Below are 23,899 nucleotides of genomic sequence, written 5' to 3' on the forward strand. Positions count from 1 at the left end.
AGCTCCTGGTTCTGCCCTCTGCATGGCTCCTCACTGTAGGATTCTGTTGTTCAGGTGACTCTGTGTCTTTGGGTCTCCGGATTCAGCCTAACTTTCCAGTTCCTTCCATGCTTCTACCACTTTCTCTCCATCTCACATTTAAAATTCCCTAAGAGAATCTGAGTTACTGCATGCTCTCATCTCCAGTCCATGCACATCCTCCTGTTATTTTTAATTCAGTTTCATAATTTCCCCTTTCAGTCTGTATCCCCAATCCTATTAGCTTCCCTCATATTAAATTTATAACCTTCCACTTCACTCTGCATCTGTTTATATTAATGTATATGTATTCCTGATTATACATATAAATAAATATATATAATTATTTAGCTTGTGTTTTAATTTACAGTTATGATATACATATTCATCTTGTTTATTTCTGATAGATAATGGTAACTGACATTTATTGAGCACTTAAAATATGCTATGTCTTTCTCTAAGTGCTCTCTTTATTAACTAATTTATTCTTATATCAATAGTATCAGTTAGATATTATCTTTATTCTTATGTTACAGATAAGGAAATCAAGGAACAGATAGGTTAAAGAATTTGCACGAGAATGCACAGCTGAGAATGTCAGAGCCTGTTTTGTCATACACACAATTTGATTCCAGAGCTTGTTCCCTATTCTGTGTATTAACTGCCTCTGTTCCTGCTGCTGTTTGTAGATTAGTTTTTATTTGGGGAGCAGTGCATGGTATTCCATCTTTTGCATCTATTTAGCATTTTACATTTATTTCCCATTAGTGATCAATTAGCAAGCCTTCATTCAATTCTTGGCCATTCAACTGATACTGTTATGAACAGTCTTACAACAGCCTCTTGTGCCACAGTATGATTACTAGATGGTTAGTAAAATGGTATGAATATAATTTACAAACAAACCGTAAAAACAAGAACAATAACACAAAAAAATTATACCAAAATGTTAATAGTTGGTAGCCTTTGAATGGTGAGAATGTTTTCTTTCTCCAATTCTTTTCTCGTTTTGCCTCCCATTTCTCATATCTCCACATTTAGAATTGTACTGTTGACAAGCCCCCAGATTTTGAGTCTCAGGTGTGAAATCAAAGCCAGAGCCAAATTTCTACCTGTGTGGCTTGTGTATTGTGTCACTTAATTTTGCACACACCTAGGTATAGGTTAGTTTTACCTAATTATTTCCAATAGCAGCAAAATGAATATTTGTGCCCTGAAATACCATAGTTGTTTCTACAGTATCTCAGTTTTCTTGAATAACACTTGAAGATTTTATCTCATCTTTTTTCCCAGATCATCTTTTGAGATACTAGAAAGATGAATGCAAAGTACATTCTAATCCCAGATGAAATAATCCAGCACTTTCCTGGATCAGAGCTATACTTCAAATGTACACAGCCATAGCCTTGGCAGCCCAAGCTCTGATTTGACAGCTTATGAAATCTTATAAAATGAAAATCCTTACTAATGATGTTGTCTCCCACTCCCCCCATGCATTACCATTATTGTCTAAACAGTCAGTATAAGGAGATGGTCTTGCCTGTGCCCTCACTGCTCCAAGTTCATGTCTAAGGGGATGATGATTGTAGAGAAATTCCTATAAAGCTAAGATGATTGTGAAGAACAGGAGGCAAAACAAAGGAAGCTGTCTTCAACATGTCCTGAATTATATCGCCACTTGACAAAATTATTACCAGCTGTTGAGCATTGTGAAGTTACAGAATTTCATGCACCTTTAAAGCAAGAAGAGACATGAAAGCAACAGATTACAGAAGTCCCTATGAGTCATTTCAAAGAGCTTGGACCTTAATATAGGAGCAAAGGAGGGAACACAGGAAGAGGAACCTGATTGGTGAGGGTGGGATGATAAAGATTTCAATGTAACTGTTTTTATTTAAGGTCTTATGATTTCATCCCCATCGATGCCAGCCTTCAGGCTCTGTGTTCAATAGTTTAAATAATTCTGCTTTAATTAGCAGGGAACTGTTGATTTCTGTATACCAAATGTTAATCTTTACCTACTCTGTTTGTTTGACTAGGAAATAGATAAAAATTCACATGAGCACTCTACCCTTTTCTGCATGCCACAGAGGTTTTGGCCTTGAGGAGAAAACATCATTTTGGGGAAGACTTGAGACATTTGATCTTCTTAAATATGGAATTTCTCAAAATGAAACTGTCTTCCCAACTCCCACTTGCATCTCATACACTGAAGATGTTATATTTTCTTTGTTGGAGAATAATACTAGTAGCAGAAATGGCTAACCTCTTGTTCCAGACCATCTGATCTACAGAGCAATTTGAAGTACTTTCAATAATTACCTCCACTTTAGAGATAAGAAAATTGAAGATTGGAGAGGTTCAATGACAGGCACAAGGTAACACCACAAGTAGTAAGTGTCCTGGTTGATTTTGAACTTAGGTCTTTAAATTTCTAAGCCCATGTTGTTATCTACCATGACACTATGCCTTTCTAATAGAAACAGCAAATTTTCACCTACTGAGTGCTCACTGTGTGGTCAATACCGTTTAATGCTCTCATTTGATTCTCATAATAATCTTATGCAATGGGTACTGTTATTAACCCCATTTGATAGCATTTTCTATAAAAGTCTAGATAGTATATATATTCAACTTTGTCAGCTGTACTGTCTCTGTCACTAGTCACCTCTGCTTGTTGCGGTGTGAAAGCAGTCATAGGCAATGCAGAAATAAATGGGTGTGGCTCTGTCCCAACAAAACTGTATTTACAAAAACAGGTGGAGGCTGGGGTTGACCTGCAATAGTCCCTGCGATGGTTGATAACATTGAAGCTTAGAGGATTTAGGCAGCTCACGTTGAGGTGGGATATAAGCCTAGGTCAGCTTGGTGTGTATCTAAGGCTGCACTCTTGTCCATGTGTTACATTCTCTTCTTTATTATAATCTTCACTCCTCTCTCTAGTAGGTTGAATTTTGTCCCCACAAAAGATATGTTGAAGTTCTGTCCCTCAGTACCTGTACCTGTGAACTTATTTGCAAATAGTCTTTGCAGATGTAATTAAGTTAAGGAACTTGAGATGAGATCATCCTCGGTTTGGGGTAGGCTGTAAAACCAATTATTAGCGTCCTTACAAGAGAAAAGAGAAAGATTTGAGACAGAGAAACAAAGGGGAAACAACCATGAGAAGATGAAGGCAAAAATTAGAGGTATGCTGCCAAGCAAGGGCCACCAGGAGCCACCAGAAACTAGGAAAGGCAAGGATTTTCTCCTATAAACTTTAGAGGGAACACAGCCCTGCTGACACCTTAATGTCAGGCTTCTAGAATGCACCAAAATGAATTAAGCATATATTATGAGAGAGCAATGAAAGAATAATTTTTTCTTTTTTTAAACTACCAAGTTTCTGGTAATTTGATACAGCAGTTCTAGAAAACTAACAAACCCTCTTTTTCTGTTGCTTTTTCTTAGAGGAATATTTTGGTTGCTTTTGATGCTTTTTTCTGGTTTCAAAAGCCTTCTTTGTGTGAATTAGGATTACCCACAGTCTCTTGAGACTTCTATTAGTATAATTAGAAGATTTCTGGCTATTTAATTTTTTGAAGAACATAAAATTAAATAAATAAATTGAAATGTCTTGACCTCTTTTATTTCTTTATTTCTTCCTTCATCCAAGGTATATCATTAAATAAATAAGTTATCTGTCAATTGCAGACAACAGAAGTCTAAATGTAAATCTCTGGATTAGATAATGCACAATCAGTCAGGAAACAAAATTATTGGTAATGGAACAAATTCTCCATTACCAGAGAGCTGTGTAAATCAAAACTGGAAGTTGTATTTAATTTTACACCTTGGTGATAGTTCAAAGGATTTTATGGTAACTTGCAAGGAGTTAATGTACTGTGAATTCATTCTTGTACATTGATTTCTGCATTAGCTCCGTGAAAGGTACAGTTTTTTGGCAAATGAAAACTTTTCGAGGTACATTTTTTTTGTCATGTAATCCATATTCTGATTATAAATCAGAATTTATAATAACTTGTTTCATTGTTCATGATTACAAATCATTGTCTGGATAACCGCACAGTCAGGCAAATAGAAAAATGGATTCTCATCTCTGAAGCTTACTGTGCAGACATTTTATTACATTATGAACTTTCTTCTGTTCCACAGAGTTCTTTGGAGGAGCTAGGCTCTGAATGAAGAACGCTTCCATCTACCTATCTCTAGATATTCATGTTCTAGTTATTCATGATGTCTCTTGTTGCCACCTTTAGGAATTATGTTTGAATGCTGGTGTAGTAATATGTTGAATACTGATAGCAGTGGAAGTTAATCCACCTAATTAACCTTAAAGTTCAGAAACTTGATTGTCATGATCCTCTTCCAAATCATTGCACTTAAATTTGCATTTATAATTTTGTCTTGTTTTTTAAATTTTAAAGACTGCCTTTTTCATTATATAATTTCCAGAGCCCACATGTCTGCTCCAACACTGGCTGGTAGCATAGAGTCTGGCTCCTTTTGAAGATTTCAGACTAGAAAAAGTTTCTGACTCAACTCTTCCTAGATCCCTTCATGTGATGAGTAGGGTGAGCCTGGAGAGGTAGATCTCTGTCTCATCCACCCTCCTCTCCAATAACCATAGCCTCACCTTACCTTTTTTTTTTTTAATTGGACATATGAGTAAGTTTTGGCCTTGTTTCAGTTGGTAAAGAAGTCCTTAGTTTAGGGACTGTAGAATACTGTGATGGCAGATTTCATCTGAAGAGGTCCTGCTATTCAGTTCCAGCCAATTGTTGCTATGCTGGAATGAGAACCCAGGTGTTACCAGATCATCTGCATTTTCAAGGGAAGTCAGAAATGTTTATTTTATGTGAAATCTCCCAATTTTGCACTCCTGTCCTTATAAGAAATACACAAATATATAAATAAATAAGCAAATAAGTAAGCAGGTAGGCAGTAGGTAAATCTACTATTCTGGTCCAATATATTGGCTGGATTCAGGTCAGAGTTTCTTTAGGAACCCTGGGAGATAAAGAAAAAAGAAGAGAAATACTTTTCTTCTAAGCTTATATGTTTCTGAATCCCATGAGACACATAGAGAAATCTATCTACTCATAAACTGGCAATTGCTGATGCTTAGGATTCATTGTATCAGACCTGTCTTCACAGTTGGGAAATGAAGCTGCTATTTAAAGAGCAGATTCATTGGTCATTTTGAAGGTAGTTGTTTCTATTTAGATAGTATATTAGCCATGTGTACATGTCACAACGAGCTAATTATAAGTAATATCCTATCATGTTTCATTATATTGTTCTCTAACAACATGCATATCATTTTTAATTATATTTAGTGGTCTTTTAGCCTAAGGGCAAAGCATTTGCCACTTCAGAATTTTCAAATTGTCTCTTAATCAGGTGCTCTGATCTCATGCTGTCTCTTCTTCATTCCAGTGCCCCAATCAAATTTATACCAGAATTCTTAATCAATTTTCTGAGCCTCCCCAGCAGAACCTCCTCCTGTGGTCTCACAGCACCCTAGCCAAATTTATACTTCTCCTCAAACAAAAATTATTGTAGAGAATATTTGACTTATAAACATTTGGGGTTCATTGTCTTCTTAATTTAATTTGTGGTCTCTCTCCTGCCAAGATTGCCTTCCACATGCCTGTCTATTTATCAAAATTCTGCTACACTGTGAAGGTTATTTATTTTAGGTTAGGCCATGACATATGTAGAGTTGTGCTTTAGGGATATTAATATTGCAGTTGATCAGACATGGAATAGATTAGAAGGAAGAAATTGGAAACCTGCAGCCCAGTTAAGGGGCTATTATAATAGTTCAAGTGAGAGATATTGAGTATCTGGCCTTGGTTGGTAGCAGCAGACTTGGAAAGACAGACATGGAATGAAACAACAATTGATTTATTGACCCAAAACAGAATCTCTCATTTTGTCAATGTTATCCTAGTCTTTAATTTACATGGAAATGAGCTGGAATGAGAAAAGGCACCCAAATTTGAAAATTATTACCCTATAATTTTTCTGCTAAAGTATCTTTACAGAATTATATTTTTTACCAATCACCTACCCCAAAAACATAATAATGAAAGAATATTTCTACTCTGCTATATAGCTTTTAGTAGCAGTAAAATGTTAGTATGTCACTTTCATCATATATTAATTATTTTCCACAGAATTCTACTTCTTATATTTTTTGACCCTCACAGCATTATAAGAAATTAGAAAGGAGAAATATTGTTACATTTTTATTTTCATACAAGGAAATTGAACTATGGAGATTTAATATTTTATCCCAGATGACATAAGGTTAGACTTTGATTTATAATCCATATTGTGAGTCCTTTTTTAAATAATAAATTATATATTTTCCTGAAATATATATATATAAGCTCAACTTTCTGCAAAGTCACATCCTCATTTGATTTGATTTGCCATTCAGACTGTGCTAACTGCTGATCTAGCTTAATTGTATTTTCTCAGGACACCATATTCGCAAAATATTCTAAATATTTGTTTCATTGTGTTCTTTACTTCACCTTCTGAAGATGCTTTGTTGTGCCAAGCTTGATCCATCAGGATGGAATTGGTAATGTTGCAGAAACAAACAGAACAGATTACTTCAAAGTCTCGGTGGTTGAAAGCCACAGGGTCTCTCACTATTCATGTCTATCTTGGGTTGGCTGGAGACTCTGCGCCAAGTCCTCATCACTCCAGGACCTGGGCTGATTGAGCAGCCAGGAATATTGCTGGTCCTTGTGGCATAAGGAAAGAAAGAGTAGGTCAAATTATGCTGCAGCTCTTAAAGCTTCCACCTAGAGGCTTCACACTACATTTCTGCTCACATTTTATTGGCTAAAACAAATTATAAGATCACACCAAACTTCAAAGTGTGGTAAAGTGTTCAGGAACAGAACCTGAAATATTTGGAGAATAGCCTGATGAATACAAGATATGCTCAGAAATCAGCTTTCATAAATGAGAAAATGTAAAGTACATACAGTATGGTGTAGTTTAAGGTGAAATTCTCTCAAGGCAAGAAGATGTAATGAGAAGACTTCATATAGGCACTTGGAGCCACAGTTCTAAGAATTACTCGGTAATATTGGGTTATTTAAATCTGTGTGTCTTTATTGTGTTGCAAATGCCAAGTTTGTTATGTGATTAAAGCATTCAGTCACTTTAATTTTAACAGCACTTATTTGCAGTAATGGGAAAAATAGCTAGTGTACGTACAGTCCTAACTGAACAGTTCAGATTGTTCTGTGTCTAGTCTCCTTTGTCTCTAATATCCTCAATATCGTCTAAGGAAAAAAATATCTTTTCTCTGCCTGGAGGAACCTGGCACAAGGGAGTTAATGTTGCAAGCTCTGCCTATAAGAACAACTGAGATACCATTGTGATTAAATTGCCTGGACTATTCAATTTCAAAGATCAGTTCTTTATAGGATTTGGCTGCTTGATTAGGTTGACACTGATACATTTAGTTGTGGCAAGTGAACCAAGTCAAGCCATTAGCCAAATCCTGTGTGTACCAAGATAAATACTTTTCACAAGAATCTCTTAGAAAATTAAAACCATAATATATTCATGTTATCTCAATTTGTCATAGAATTTGTATACATTATTTGTATCATACAACATATGTACTTGATTACATACCACATTTTTTCCTCATTGATAAGAATTATCTCTTCCCAAATATGAATTAATTAGATCAAGGGCAGGGTTGATTCTCTATCTTGTCAATCCTTTACTAAAGAGAACATTCTGGGCCATAGTAATTATTTTTTTCTACTTGATAGTGAACTATCTCAACCAAGTCTGAGTTTGAGTTCCCGTTCTACTTCTGACTATAAAATGAAGTCTTTTCCTAGGTGATCTTGAATAGCTCATCTACATCCAAAATACAGTACACCAGTGAATTAGTGAATTATATTTTAATTAAGGAAACTGGCTGACACCGAAATGATTTTCCTGGTGGATGTAATATAATTTAATAAGTTTTTGTGCTACAAAAAAGTGAGTTTTAAGGAATCCAGTAAAACTTTTTTGTCAATTAATTGTTTGAACATTGTGTGACTTCTAAATCAGCTACATTTCAGTTATCATATTGTGGATCTAAATGAGATATTTTGTTTGCAATACATTAGCATCATTTATAATATTTAACATTATTTTGTCGATGCTGATGGAGTTTTATAAAAAGCAGTAAGATATTTTCTACTGGTAGACAGTACTTTCAAAACCATCTCTTAATAATTCAGAATTCTAAAAAGAAGAGGTAATAACCTAGGCACTTTTTAACTATCATGTCTCAGGCCTCACAGAGACCTAAACAAGGTTGGAAGCATCTTTATGAGAGTATGCAACTTCTTTTCATGAATGGTATTTCCAAGAAAATGTATACATTCACCAAGGCAAGCTGGTAACTCTATTGCATTTGATTTACATTTTCACATGCTGATGGATTGAGATTTTAAGTAAGCGTTTAACACTGTCAGTTCCTTTCTTCATAACAATGGCAAAGTATTGATCTAACTTCTCAAATTGTCTTTCTTGGACTAAGGTTAAAATAATTTTGCAATTTTTTCTTCACCTTTCCCAAACAAATATGCCCTTTAAACTAATCTGATTGAAGTCATTGGATACTTTTTAGTATAGTGCATTTTTACTAGATAAATAGAAAAACAATTATATTCTCATAGTACTAAAATATATAAGCTAGAAAACTGGATATCCATGTGCAGAAGAATGAAACTAGACCTCTATCCCTCACCATTTACAAAAATCAAATCAATTAAAGACTTAAATATAGGACCTGAAACTATAAAACTACTAAAAGAAAACTTTGGGAAAATGCTCCAGGACATTGGTCTGTTCACAGATTTCTTGAATGAGACCTCAAAAGCATAGGCCACAAAGGCAAAAATGGACAAATGGGATCACATCCAGCTAAAAAGTTTCTGCACAGTAAAGGAAACACTCAACAAAATGAAGAGACAACCTACAGAACGAGAGAAAATATTTGCAAACTATTCATTCAATAAGGGATTAATAACCAGAATATAAAAGGAACTCCAATAGCAAAAACAAATAATCCAGTTGAAAAATAGGCAAAACATCCGAATAGACATTTTTTAAAAGAAGACATACAAATGGCCAACAGATGTATAAAAAAATGCTCACCACTAATCATCAGAGGAAATGCAAATCAAAACCACAATGAGATATTATATCACCCCAGTTAAAATGGCTATTATCAAAAAGGTAGAAACTAACAAACTCTAGTGAGGATATGGAAAAAGAAGAATGCTCGTACACAGTTGGTAGGAATGCAAATTAGTACAGCCACTATGAAAAACAGTATGGAGATTTCTCAAAAGACTAAAAATAGAACTACCATATGATTCAGCAATTTCACTGCTGGGTATGTAACCAAAAGAAAGGGAATCAATATATCAAAGTATCAGCACTGCAATGTTTATTGCAGCAATAATCACAATAGCCAAGATATGGAATCCACCTAAGTGCCCATCAACAGATGGCTGGATAAAGAAAATATGTATATACACAATGGAATATTATTTGTCCATGAAGAGAATGAAATTGACATCCTATCATTTGCAGCAATATGGATGGAAATAGAGGAGATTATGTTACATGAAATAAGCCAGACACAGAAAGACAAATACTGTGTGTTCTTACTCATATGTGGGAGATTTGAAAAACAATATGGATCTCATGGAAGTAGTGAAGAGAATGGTGGTTCCAGAGGCTGGAAAGGGTAGTAGGGAGGGAAGAGGAAAGACAGGTTGATTAATGGGTACAAAAATACAGTTAGATAGAAAGAATAAGATCTAGCATTCAATAGCACAATAGGGCAACTATAGATAACAATAATTGTTGTACATTTCAAAAAAGTATGAGTTGTAATGTTCCCAACACAAAGAAAAGATACATGCTTGTGGTGATGGATAGCCCAGTTACCCCGATTTGATCATTACACATTGCATGCTTGTATCAAAATATCACATGTACCCCATAAATATATACAACTATTATGTATCCATAAAAGTTGAAAAAGGAAAAAACATTAAATAAACTTTAAAAAGCAGGTTTTTAAATATTGAGAAAATCACAACATGCTATTTTAACTCACAAGATTCTCCCGGATCTTAGCTTGTTTAGTATTGAAAAAAAAAAAATCTGTTTCCTTTTTGGTACTATGTTTCATTATTCGAGCACAGTGTCAGTAGATAGAACATAAGCTGTCCAGTGAGATGTTGGCTATTATTTTATATAGCAGGAAAATATAAGTAAATTAATCTAGGTTATTTTCTCAGGATTAATATAATCAATATTTCCTACTTTTATGTCCTTCAAAACTAGATCTTAACAGGAGAAAAACGTGTTTGTACTTGACTGTTGAAGGGGAAAAATGCACATAAGGTAATATTCTGGGAGAGGTTGTATTAATGAGTCCACCTTATTCGGAGAACTGTGCTTACACATACATCCGTTATGCTAACTCAGAGGCTTCAGTCTTTGGGGATTAGAAATATAGACTGAAAAGTCCTTTCATTCCAAGTCTCTGGGCTTCAATTCTATTTGGTAGATCATTAAATAAATACCACTGGTTGTAACATCGATAGGGATAGTATTAATGCATCCTATTCAGTCCATCTTTATCTGTAATAGGATTTTTTTTGAGCATCTACTATGTATAATGAATATGGTTTACAAAATTACAAAGTTTGGTGTATTCTCTACTGATAATTCTGTAATGACTACTTCACCCCTAATTCTATATGCATACTGATAACTAAAATAGAACACTAAAGTATCCCTAGGCCAAGTAATAAGATGGTCCAAGCAATGTATTCTGCATATAAACTGTAGTGTAAAATACTTTTTGGTAGAAAAAACTGCTTTTTTGGTAGCAATGAGGTTTAGATGTGTGAGTGTTGCCGTGAAATATTATGTAGATGGGAACAGAGATTCTGTGGTATATTTTATGGAAATGAGTTTCTTAAACATTAGTGGGACTTCTGCAGTTAGAAATTAGAATATTTAAGTGGCAGGTCAACCTTGTACATAGTCACATTTGATCATATTCTGTTGCCAAAAACTATAAGTGTTAAGTGTGTGGTAAAACTTATCCATTCGAATATGAGATAGGTATAAGAATATGCAAGTATTAATATTCCTCACTATGAATTTTCCTTTGGGGTATACTCTGGCATGAAAATAATTTTCCTGAAAAATAAATGTCACTGTTGCTTAGTCCTGTTGAATTTCAAAATTATTTTATGCTCATTGAATTTATAACCTTGACTTTCATAGAGATCCTCTGGGTTTACTTCTTATCATAGGGAAAGAAAAAAAAAGTATTGCTACAGGCTTGCTAATTAAAATCCTTCAGTATGCAAGTGTAGATGAGAATGATTTAAAATCTCAATTAAAAGGGCATCTACTTCAAATTCTGCTTTAACATAGGGTCTACATAGACATTCAAACATTTAAAGTTTATCTGAAACCTCCTGGAATTTCAGATTTGCATATGTGAAGTATGCATGCCATGAGAGTTAATCCCACCTAATTTCTAGTTTTCCTCTTTCTATTTGGTAGCAAATGAAAGCATTTTGTGACTCAGTTTCTCTATAAAATGAAGTAATGTTGTGACTTCCTTTTAATCCTTTATTTAGCTTTTACTGTGTATCTAATAGTGAATTAGTAATCAAAACTCCTTAGAAATGACTGTAAAATTAAAATTATGTTAGAGGATTAGTCTTTTACGAGTGTCTATTGGAGCATTTTTTTTTCAATTCCAGAAGGATCTTTTCTGATGACTCTTAGATTTTAGTGTATTCTCTCTTGTCAATGACTAGTATTAGGGGAATTTAAATTCATTATAATATTAATCTGAAAGAAATATAAATATGAAATGGAGAGAGAGAAAAAAAGAAAGAAAGAAAGAGAAAGAGAATCAAGGAAACAAGGTTCTGAAAGAGCCTGTAGACCAGGGGAGAAATCAGGTGGAAATGAAGAATGTTCCTTATATAGGAAAATGCAGAAAATGGACACTTTTTTCATGTTAATATGAAGAGAGAAGAAAAAAATATGAGAATGCATACAGACACATTCATAGGAAACTGAAGGAGTCTCATCCATTTCTTGCTATTTTTTTCTGTAAAGGAAGATGTGAGGAAGATGTGAGGTCTTAGAAGTTTGAAAATAGGTGGAGGCTTGAAAGAGCTGTCTGTGGAATCAGAGTGAGAAGAAAACTCAGAAGAATGACCAAGCAGTGTGAGAAACTGGTTGAAGATAGAGTACTTATTAAAGTGTCTCCAGTGTGGTATCAGCATTTTCTTCATCTCTGCTTGGCAGCCCTGTTTTAAGAACAGAAAAGGAAGACAATTGGACCAAACTAAGTCTGAAGTTTTTCCAGCCTGGGATGGCAGAACACTGGGACGAGGCCATCAACCAAATTGGCAAGAGAGTGGTTAAAGTAATGAAGCAGGGAGGCTAAGCTGGTTAGGAAAATAACTCATTTTTGCACGAGCAAAGGCTCGTGGAGAAGATGGAGTAGTCTGTGTAGACAGAATTTAAGATAGAAGAGACGGGAGGGTGGGGGGAACAATAAGTTTGGTAGGCAGTCCTCAGAATCATCTGAATGTGTTTAAAAACTACCCTTTCCTGGCTGGCCGCAGTGGCTCACGCCTGTAATCCCAGCACTTTGGGAGGCCGAGGCGGGCAGATCACGAGGTCAGGAGATTGACACCACGGTGAAACCCCATCTCTACTAAAAATACAAAAAAAATTAGCCGGGAGCGGTGGCGGGCGCCTGTAGTCCCAGCTACTCGGGAGGCTGAGGCCGGAGAATGGCGTGAACCCGGGAGTCAGAGCTTGCAGTGAGCCGAGATTGCGCCACTGCACTCCAGCCTGGGCGACAGAGCGAGACTCCATCTCAAAACAACAACAACAACAACAACAACAACAACAACAACAAAAACTACCCTTTCCTGGGTCCCATCCTCTGAGAATCAGGTGGAATTGGTCTATGGTTTGTCCTGGGGAATGGACTTAGATTTTACAGACAAGGTTGAAAACCATTGCTTAGAGTCTTTTATAAAGAATTTTTGTTTGTTTGTTTGTTTTATTTTTGTAAAGTGTGTTGACTTTTTATTATAAAGGCAATGGGGAGTTAGCAGAGGTTTCAAAAAAGGAGTAATAAAAGTTATTTTGTATTTTAGAAAATGATCTTTTTTCCCCCCCTCAAAGTAATTGACAGATACCAAAACAGAACAATTAAGAAAAAGAAAGGCAGGCTTGTGGAGAGAATATGGCATTATTCTGGGCCAGAAATGGTGAGATCTTGAACTAGGGCCTGACAAAGGAGTTGTGGAATAGGGGACTTATTTATTTGTTTTAATATAAGGATTTGTGACACATTTTAATGTTTGTGTAGAATGATGAAGGAGGGTCTAAGATAACTGGAGATATTTATTTTGGATAACTTCTTAGCTTTTCCATTGTTGCATAAAAAAATACCACAGACTTCACATCTCAAAACAACCTTTATTATCTCACAGTTTGCATGGGGCAGAAATTCAGACAGCTTCTCTGGATTCTCTGCTTGAGGGCTTCACTTGGTTAAAATCAAGGTGTAGGCTAGGGTTGAGATCTCAGCAGAGGCTTGGCTGGGGAAAGCTCCTCTTCTGAACTCCCTCATGTTTTTGGCAGAATTTATCCCCATGCACCTGTGGGCCTGAAGGCCCTGTGTTCTGCTAGCTGACAGCAAGGGGCTGCCCTCAGATTCTAGAGGCTGCTTGCAGTTTCCTGTCATGTGACCATGCCATCAGCATTTCATAGCATGGCTATTTTCTTTTTCAAGGCCAGCAGGAGAATCTCTCTCTCTCTACACAAAAGGACCCAGTCCTCTTTTAAGGCTTTTCACCCAATTAAGCCAGGCCCACCCAGTATATCTCAAACTGATTAACTGATGTGGCATATTAATCATATCTGTAAATTCCCTTCACATTTGCCATATACCATAACCTAATAATGGGAGGGACATTCTGTCACATTCACAGTTCCTTCCCACACTCAAGCAGAAGAGATTATACAGGCATGTACAACAGGATACAGGAATCAGATGATGTTGCAGTTAATCGGGAAAGGAACACAAGAGAAGTATAATTTTTTAGGAAATTGATGGCCTCAGTTTTAGACATGTTGAATTTTCAGTAAATCGGGCATCAAATTAGAGTGGTTCAGTAGATGGTATAGAATTTAGTGGAGAGATCTACATTAGAAGTATATATTTGGTAGTGATTATTAGAGGTGATAGTTAAAACAGTGAGATTATCCAGAGAAAGACCGTTGCAAGAAGTGGGCTGAAGACACAAGCAAGGCCAGGTAGAGCTAGAACTTCCAAAGCTGTACTTCAACCCACATCTCTTGATTTCAGTGCAATATCTCATTTTACAACTTTTTGCTATTCTTCTACTGTCTTCTTTCAATAATATCCCACTCTTCCTAATCTGTGGTCCACTGTCTGTCCTCTTCCCATCCCCAAGTCACATTACAGAATAAACATCTTTTTAAGTGAAAGCCTTGCAGATCATAGACCCTTAAGAAGGATGGACTCTTTTATAATCCCTCTTCTAGACAGTGAATCGTAGGAGGGAAACACAAGGCCTAGTGAGGGGAGATGGCTCCATCTTTAGCCCTGAGCTACCTCATTCCTTCTTATCAGAAACCAGGACTAACTGTGCACTTTTTCCTGTTCCTTTCATCCCAAAATTGCCTACAAAGTGAACAGAGTGGCACAAATTTGAATGCAGATGTCATATTTATTTCTTAAAATTTTGGTCTGTTTATCTGAGAACAAAATTATTGAAGCCACTACAGCAATATTGTTGAAAAAATCCAAACTGTGATCATGGAAATAGAAAGTGAATTTGATCAGTACATTTTAATCAGACTTTCTTCTCTTAAATCTTTTTCTGTCAGGTTACATTCAAGAAAAATGTGTCATTCCCTGCCCATTTGATTGCAAGTTAAGCGATTGGTCTAGTTGGGGGTCTTGCAGTTCATCTTGTGGAATTGGAGTGAGAATTCGATCCAAATGGCTAAAAGAAAAACCTTACAATGGAGGACGACCATGTCCCAAACTGGATCTCAAGAATCAGGTAAAGTGCATGAAGCAACAAATAAAAAGCTAAAAAAGCTATCCTCATTATTATTTCCCATTGAAATTGAAGTCATTCTCTTATTACAAGGAGCTCATTAAAAGTTATCACAATGTCAGAAGAAGGATTAAGAGGGCCAAAATTAAAATAATAGAATTAGTAATTGAAGCTTTGCTCACACCTGGATAATGCTGAGACAAACTTGGTATCCTTAGTAGTAATAATATTTACAAAATCAAATCAAATTGATTTTAAAATAATCTTAAGCTATAATTTTGATATTTTAAAAGTTGGATATATATATGTGTGTATATATATATGTCTAAATATATACATATATTTAAATATAAGTAATAATGTTGGGAGAGTATCACTTATGTCATGGCAATATGATTAGTGGTCTTATCCATCAAGTCCAAAAATGGTGTTCTATTTTTGTTTCACCTAACACTTTATCCTAATGTTTTTCATTCTCAATCTTGCCAAATCTTCCACAACTCTATAAATCTCTTTTGAACTACTTCTTTACCTGCTTTCTCAAAAATCATAGATATTTTCATAAATAAAACCATGATAGATCCCTTTCCATATACATGTCTAATGAAATTGCCATCCTAAGCAATCAAAGTTGATTAGAGTATTTCAGTTGCCTTTGTATATATAACAGAGTCTAAGATTTCATTAAGAATTATAATAAAGAACTCAAATTTCTCCCATGATTGTGTACTGATTATTAGATTAGGACTGATATTACATTAATCAGTTGACTAGGTTGAGTACAAGATGATTTTGATTAAAAGTTTTTTTTATTTTTAGACAGGTGAAGTGTGTCTCATATGAGTTGGTAGATCCTCTGTAATTGGGAAACTTAACAGAATAGCTACACATGCTTCTATTACTAATTCTAGTATATGAATTTCTATCCTCTCAATTCCATTCAGCCTCTATACATGCTGTTTAATGTAAGGAAAATCTCATATGTCCTTTCTTAATTATAATAGCATGTTTAGTACTGCTCAGACTTGAATATCATGTATCAATTCAAGACCAATCTCTTTAGCTATTTTTTTCTAAGTTTTTATAAAAGACATATAACTCACTGAAATTAAAAAAAAATTCAACAAGATATATTTAAGTTCTAAAACAGAGCATAGTTATTATGCTAGTCTTGATTTTTAAGGTTATGTGGTAAAATAATGACCATAGTTTATTCTCTTAAATAAGATATGAACCTTTTAGGGAAAATAAAGCAGAAGATTATAAAATCAATGTAAAAGTTGGAAAAAAAACCTCAAGATTTTGGTGACAGGAGAATAAAATATGATTAATGAAAACTGGAGGGAAATAATTAAAGCAGAGATAGTCTGAAGAGATAATCCTTACAAAGAAAGAAATAATGCAGGTTTATGTTCAGGAGGGAGACTTTTAGGGAAATACTCTGTATGGAGACTATTTGCCCATCCCTGGGGGAATTTTCTGGGCATTTAAAATGAAAAGAACTACTAAGCACTTATAGTTATAAATAATGTATGATAATTCTTTTTGTATCTTCCTCAAAACCGTCAATGAAAGCTAAGCCTTTATAACACCAGTGTTAAACACTCATTTTAATATGCTAATTTTATGAACTAGGAAATTATCAAGGGAATAAAAGGATTTTATTTGAACTCTGAGTTTAAGACTTTATTCTCAGTATGTGTAGGCAAATGTATGGACATGTCTATAACATTTGAGAGTAAGAATAAGATAAAAATAACTCATTTTGTGAAGGGATGACATGACAGTATTTGGGTGCCTGTTGTGACTTAAAGGAAACTTGTTCTAAACAATTCATTAACATATAGCACTTATACCCTTGGGAAGTTGTACAAACTAGAAATTAAATCAAAGTTCAAGAATAATTACATAAATTCAATAAGTAAAGGTAGGTCTGTCTGTAGAGGGTATTTCTAACTTTTGAGTTCCAGAAGGGAGTAGCAGCCTTCCAAAGACATTTTCTCTTTGGTTTTTCTTGATGCTCAAAAAAGAACCCTGTATAATGATCAGAAATATAATTTAGTTTGGCTTTTAGTTTGTTATAAAGAGATTTCAGATATCAAGTATGTATGTGGCTAAATTAAGAACCTCACCCGAATCCATATGTTATATATTAAAAAAAAGTTTATTTATTGTAAGTTGACAATATGCGGGGTACAAAATGATGTGTAATTTATGAATACAGTGTGGAAAAATTAAATCAGGCTAGTTAACATATCAATTACCTCAAATACTTTTTTTCTCTGCTGAGAACATTTGAAATTTACTTTTTTTTTTTTTTTTTTTTTGAGACAGAGTCTCACTCTGTCTCCCAGGCCGGAGTGCAGTGGCATGATCTCGGCTCACTGCAAGCTCTGCCTCCTGGGTTCATGCCATTCTCCTGCCTCAGCCTCCCATGTAGCTGTGGCTACAGGCTTCTGCCACCACGCCCGGCTAATTTTTTGTATTTTTAGTAGAGACAGGGTTTCACTGTGTTAGCCATGATGGTCTCAATCTCCTGACCTCGTGCTCTGCCCGCCTCGGCCTCCCAAAGTGCTGGGATTACAGGCGTGAGCTACTGCACCTGGCTTGAAATTTACTTTCTTAGCAATTTTGAAATGTACAATACACTATTATTAACTACATTTACCATGCTATGCAATATATCTCAATTGAAAATAAAATGTATTTCTCCTGAGATTTTGTGCCCTTTGAGCATCATCCCCCTTCCCTCCACTTCCAGCCTCGGATAACCGCCATTCTACTCAGTGTTTCTATAAACTTGATAGTTTTGGATTCCACATGTAAGTGAAAACATGCAGTATTTTGCTTTTTGTGCCTGGATTATTTCACTTATCATAAGGTTTTCCAGTTGCATCCATGTAGTCTCAAATAGCAGAGTTTCTTTCTTTTTAAGGTTGAATAGTATCCCATTGTGTATCTATATCACATTTTCTTCATCCACTCATCTATTGATGTACACTTAGGTTGATTCCATAACTTGGCTGTTGTAAATAGTGCTGTAATGAGTATGGGAGTGCAGACATCTCTTCAACATACTGATTTCAAATTTTTGTAGTAAATGCCCAGCAATGGGATTGCTGGATCATATAATGCTATTTTTAGTTTTTTGTAGAACTGCCATATAATTTTCCATAATGGCTTTACTAGTTTACATTTGCACCAAATGTGTATAAGGAATCACTTTTCTCCACACATACTTTATATCTTACCATGAGTTAATTGATCAGGACAATAAGTCCTTTCTCTCACTCATAAGTTTTTGAATGGCAAGGGCAAATAATATAGTGAAAAATCCTAAATTTAAAAGAAATTCTCTTCAGAGCCATTCTATCTGTCTGTCTGTCTGTCTGTCTGTCTGTCTGTCTATCTATCTATCTATCTATCTATCTATCTATCTATCTATCTATCTATCTATGTGTGTGTGTGTGTAAGTATGTTTGTGGAAAGATCTCTGTGGTGACTTCATTATACATTTGTTCTTATGTATAGTAGAATCCCATGTGTTTGTTATACTGTACATAGAGCTTTGTTTGATGTTATTCATATTTTCTTAATTCATTTGACAATAAATTGGGTTGTTAGCAATTTTCATGTTTAAAAAATATTCCCCAGCTTCTATTATTTATGGCAATTCTTTAGAGGAGGCCACTATTTGTTTCTCTAGGCTAGGCATATGGTATATTTAGAGTTATACCTACTGAGGCTTTTTTATAAAGTTCAATTTTACTGCTAGCTTTAGGTTATTCGTCTCCTGTCCAATTTGTTTCAGTTTTCTATTTACTTTCCTATTTTTGGAACCAGATTAATACCCTACTGCATTTTTACCCATAAGTAAGAGCTTTAAAAAAAAGTAACCAAATTATAACGTTAAGAGAGGAACACATCTTTACTATTTGGGCATGAGGAGGATACATTATGTGTCAGATTGAACCTAACATACTGTTCAAAAAATATTGAATTTTGATGTGTGTATGTGTTTATGTAAATGTCAGTATATCTGCATATACTTATTCATTCTCCTCCACTGCTTCTCTTTAGAATATGAGGTCTTTTTGAGGGCAAGGGCTGTCTTTCTACTTTTGCAACTCATTCCAGTCCCTGTACATTATCTTGTGGGTTGTCAAATTGTATTCACTGGAAGCCTCATTTGAAAACGTAGCCTTCTCTCTGGATGAGTGGTGCCTAGTTCCACAGAAATAAACAAATATATTAGAACTCTGGTCTCTTATGCTGTGATTTGTCATTAGAATTCTCAAAAATGTGAGCTCTTCTAGAGGAAAGAGATCAGAATCCCCAAATTATCATTGCCCAAAAAGTCTTTACAATTTTCCTGGAACATCTTGGGTGTTTCATTCCCCATTGCAATCTAACACAACAATGTAAATGGGAAGGTTGCTATTATGTACACATGCTCCTCATAAGTTGATCTGAATCTGTTAGTGAAATCAATATTTATCATCTTTCATAAAAGCCTCCTTTTTAAACCAAAACCTATCACCATGATAGCTCTTTCTCTAAAAGTGCCTAAATGACAGCAATACTCGAGTAGCTTTCTGCTAAGTATATTTGTGATGCTAAATACTTTGAGCATGCAGCTTGTCCAAAGCTCTTATCAAGGCATAAAACATCTTCTAAATAGTTTATTATATTATCAGGTTAGTTGGCTAATGCCCTTGACTCTGCTTTGTATATTGAAATACCTAATATATTTTAATTTTTCACAGTCTCTAATGTGTTGAGTAGATTTAAGTGCACTTGCACTGTACATTTTTTGCTACATATTTTTTTAAATGTTGCCTAATAGAAGATTAAATATGAGGACATTAAAGCCCTGTTGGACTTACATTTCCCTTTATGAGTTCTTCACATGGTGGAAACCAACAGAGTTCCAGACAACTATATATTTTGTTTATTAATTACAAAGCACATGTTCAGTATGTTTGAATAAAAATTTTGTATCAAGATTAATTACCTGTGCTTTTTATAAGTACATACTATTTAAATGCATTTTGAAATCATTTTTATTATGTTTGCAACTGAATGAGAGTATATAAATTAAATATATGTGTTCTCTAGAAGCAGCTGCTATTTTAAAGGTGTGTCTTCTCCCCAAAGAGAGGTATTCTAAATTTGGAAATGAATAATGTAATAAATTTTATTTTTCCTAGCAGGGTAATGATGTTTTTAATAATTTCTTGTTTCCAAAGATATACAAATATATTTTAGGATGAAGATGACTTTGGGATAAGAAAAATTTATATGGAGAAGTAGCTTATGCTCATTCTGATACTGCTTTATTAACTATATTAGCAGCATGTTGGGATGTGAAAATAGGATAACTGCCATTCTATTACAATATTTGTTTACACAGAAATATATGGCTATGCTTCAGATTTAATTTGGTTTTATCAGTGTTGGCCTCTTGCATCTTTTCAACCAGCCCGACTCTCTGATCCTGACCTAGGCCTGATCATTCCTGGCAGACTGCTGCTCACTTTGGACGTAGAACTTTGGCAGGAGCCCCAGACTTTACTGGAGCAAGAAATCATCTTCCTGGGTATCCATATGGAAGGCAGCCCAAACCGATCCATGATTGAGCACATTCAGGTGTACTGTTCTTACATGCAGAGGGGAGGTTGGTGGTTTTACCTTGGATAAGAACTTGTTTTAAATGTGAAACATCACATGCCATATAATTAAGGGCTGCAGAGTGATTTATTCCTCAGGACTATTTGGGAGGATTTAATTTAGAAGACAAAACCCCTAAAACATTTTACCTCTCTCTGCATAGTAATAATCCCAAAGCCCAGGCATACACCCTATCTTGGAGGTGGCATAAAATGCCTTATATAAGCTGGTGTTCTTCCATTTGTATCCTTTATGCCGGTCAGCTAGCCCCGACTCTGTGCTCTCAAGTTGTGGCATTGCACTAATTGAGCTGAATGGAGCTTAGAGGAGAGGCAATTTTTCTTTTTTGTTCTTGCCCTGTCGCCATTTCCAAGAAAAATTGTTTTTTTCTCCTCAAGAGATTCCTCTCCCCCAACATTTGTATCCACACACACCCTATTGTAGATCATTGCAAAGTACTACCCCCTCAGGCTTGTTAAATCTTTTGAATCTTTGATCATTATTCTTGCGAGCTGTCAGAATCAATCATGAGAAGCAATTTTCCTGTATCTGTTGTCCATGTAGTCTTACATTTTACTATATTTTTTCATACTGGTTATTGCTACTCTGCATTGCATCCAAACTCAGTTTTAGCTGTTCTTCAAGGTATTTGCTATGCACCTCTAGAATGTTCTCTTCTAGGCTGGCTTGTCAAATGTCCCTAAGGCTGCCCTTGGGCAGGGTTGTCAGGATTGGCTGGAGACAGCTATAAAATTGTGAAGCTGGCAAATTTTGTCTAATTTTGCCATTGGGAGTCTTTCACTGTCCTCCCACATCTCATATTATCCCTAATCCCTTAACTCCTAAAGCCCTGAAATATTAGATAGCATTAGCTTCAACAGGAAAATCAAATCATCTGTAATTTTGCAAAACTGTCTTCTTAACCAAGTGCTTCAAGTAGAAGCTCCCAAGTAGTTTTCTAGAAAAACATTACAACCTGCTTTTCAAATTTTCTCTGAATCAGTCTGTCATTTAAGCTTTAAATAAAGAGTGAAAAGCTCTCCCCTCCTTTCAGGCATTGAAAGAATAAGAATCTGACTGTATGTGTGTAAATTTTTTATACTAAATGTACCAGAGGACTTTAAAAAGTTTGTGGAAAAATGGAATTAACAGATAAAAATGCAAAAGATAAACTTTCTCAACATAATCTCCATCCAGGTCAAGACACTTCTGTAAGCGATGATACTAGCCATTTAGTCCACCCCTAAATAAATGAAGGTTCTGGGAATTTAACCATGTCAATGCAATCAATCATTTTTTACATTATTAACTAAACAAAAATGGGTGCCCTTTCAAGATCTTTTTAAGATTAGGAAAAAAACAAAAAAAAAGTTAGAAGAACCAAATCAGGACTGTAAGTGGATGCCTAATAATTTCCTATGAAAAACTCACAAATTTGCTCTTGTTTGATGAAAGGAATAAGAAGGAGCATTGTTGTGATAAAGAAGGAATCTCTGGTGAAGGTTTCCCAGGGGTCTTTCTGCTAAAGTTTTTATTACCTTTCGGGAAACACTCTCACAATAAGTGGATGTGATCATTCTTTGAACCTCCAGAAAGTTAACAAGCAAAATGCCTTGAGCATTCCAAAAAACTATTTTTATGAACTCTGCTTTTGACTGGTCTGCTTTTACTTTGACTGGACCACTTCCTTCTCTTGGTAGCCATTGCTTTGATTGTGCTTTGTCTTCAGGATAGTACTGATAAAGCCATGTTTCATCTCCTGTTACAATTCTTTCAAAAAAATGCATCAGGATCTGGATCCCACTTTTTAAAACTTCCATTGATAGCTCTGCTTTTGTCTTGCAGCTAATCTGGACGCAATAGTTTTGGCACCCATCAAGCGGAAAGCTTGCTCAAATTTAATTTGTTTTCAGTCAGAATTTCATAATTCTGCAGTAGTTGAGACATCTATAGTATTGGCTATTGTGTATGCTGTTAATCATCAGTCATTTTCAATTCAGGCAATACCAATATAAAATTTTTCCTCAAAAATTGATGTGCATGGTCTGTCCCTTTGGGCTTCATCTTCAACAGTGTCTAATACCTTCTTAAAATGAGTTATCTTCTTGTAAAGTGCTTTTATTTTATTTGGTGCACTGTCTCCATAAACTTTTCATAAAGATCAGTGATTACACCATTCTTGCACCCACGCTTTCCCATAAATTTGATTTTTGTTCTTGCTCTAGTTTTAGCAGAATTCATGTTGCTCTGATAGGGCCTCTTTTCAAACTGATATCTTATCTTTCTTACTGCATCAAACTAGATCCTGTCCAGACATGTTGTAACAAGTTCATATGAGTTGATTTTGGTGCAAAAAATTTTGAAATCTGTGTGTCCTTTTTTCACCATACACATTTTCCATGAACTTTTTAAGGACCTCTTATACTAGTTTGAAAATTAAATCCAAACCGATGGGAGTACAGTATCTTTTAAAAAAAAAATCTAAAAAAGAAATTTCCTAATATCATTTGAGAGTAAGATTCTAAATTGCATGCTAAGTCTCCCATTCTTTAGATTTTTTAAAGCTTTATTCCAATATTAAGATAAAGTGACAGAAAGCAAGTGACCTATGTATTGTCACAGGTTCCTGCAGAAAAACATTTGTTAAAACATGAGTTTATTTTTTTCTACATGACTTAAGATTCAAGATAGAAAGACCCAGTGTGGTGGCTCAAGCCTGTAATCCTAGCACTTTGAGAGGCCAAACAGGCAGATCACCTGAGGTCAGGAGTTCGAGACCAGCCTGGCCAACATGGTGAAACCCCATCTCTACTAAAAATACAAAAATTAGCTAGGTGTGGTGATAGGTGCCGTAATCCCAGCTACCTGGAAGGCTGAGGCAGGAGAATTGCTTGAACCCAGGAAGTGGAGGTTGCAATTAGCTGAGATCGCACCACTGCACTCCAACTTGGGTGACAGAGTGAGACTCTGTCTTTAAAGAAAAAAAAAAAGATTCAAGATAAAAATAATAA

General features: G+C 35.2%; 1 protein-coding gene across 2 annotated transcripts in view; it reads left to right on the forward strand.

Annotated features, from left to right (window-relative positions):
- Positions 1-23,899, forward strand: part of THSD7B (thrombospondin type 1 domain containing 7B) — a 912,174-nt gene that overhangs the window by 670,258 nt on the left and 218,017 nt on the right. For both annotated transcript variants that reach the window (NM_001316349.2, XM_047445935.1), the window contains exon 15: positions 15,043-15,221. In NM_001316349.2, coding sequence (NP_001303278.1) covers positions 15,043-15,221 — 179 coding nt within the window. The remainder of the gene's footprint in view (positions 1-15,042; positions 15,222-23,899) is intronic.

Source organism: Homo sapiens, chromosome 2 (genome assembly GCF_000001405.40).
Source record: "Homo sapiens chromosome 2, GRCh38.p14 Primary Assembly".
Taxonomy (NCBI): domain Eukaryota; kingdom Metazoa; phylum Chordata; class Mammalia; order Primates; family Hominidae; genus Homo; species Homo sapiens.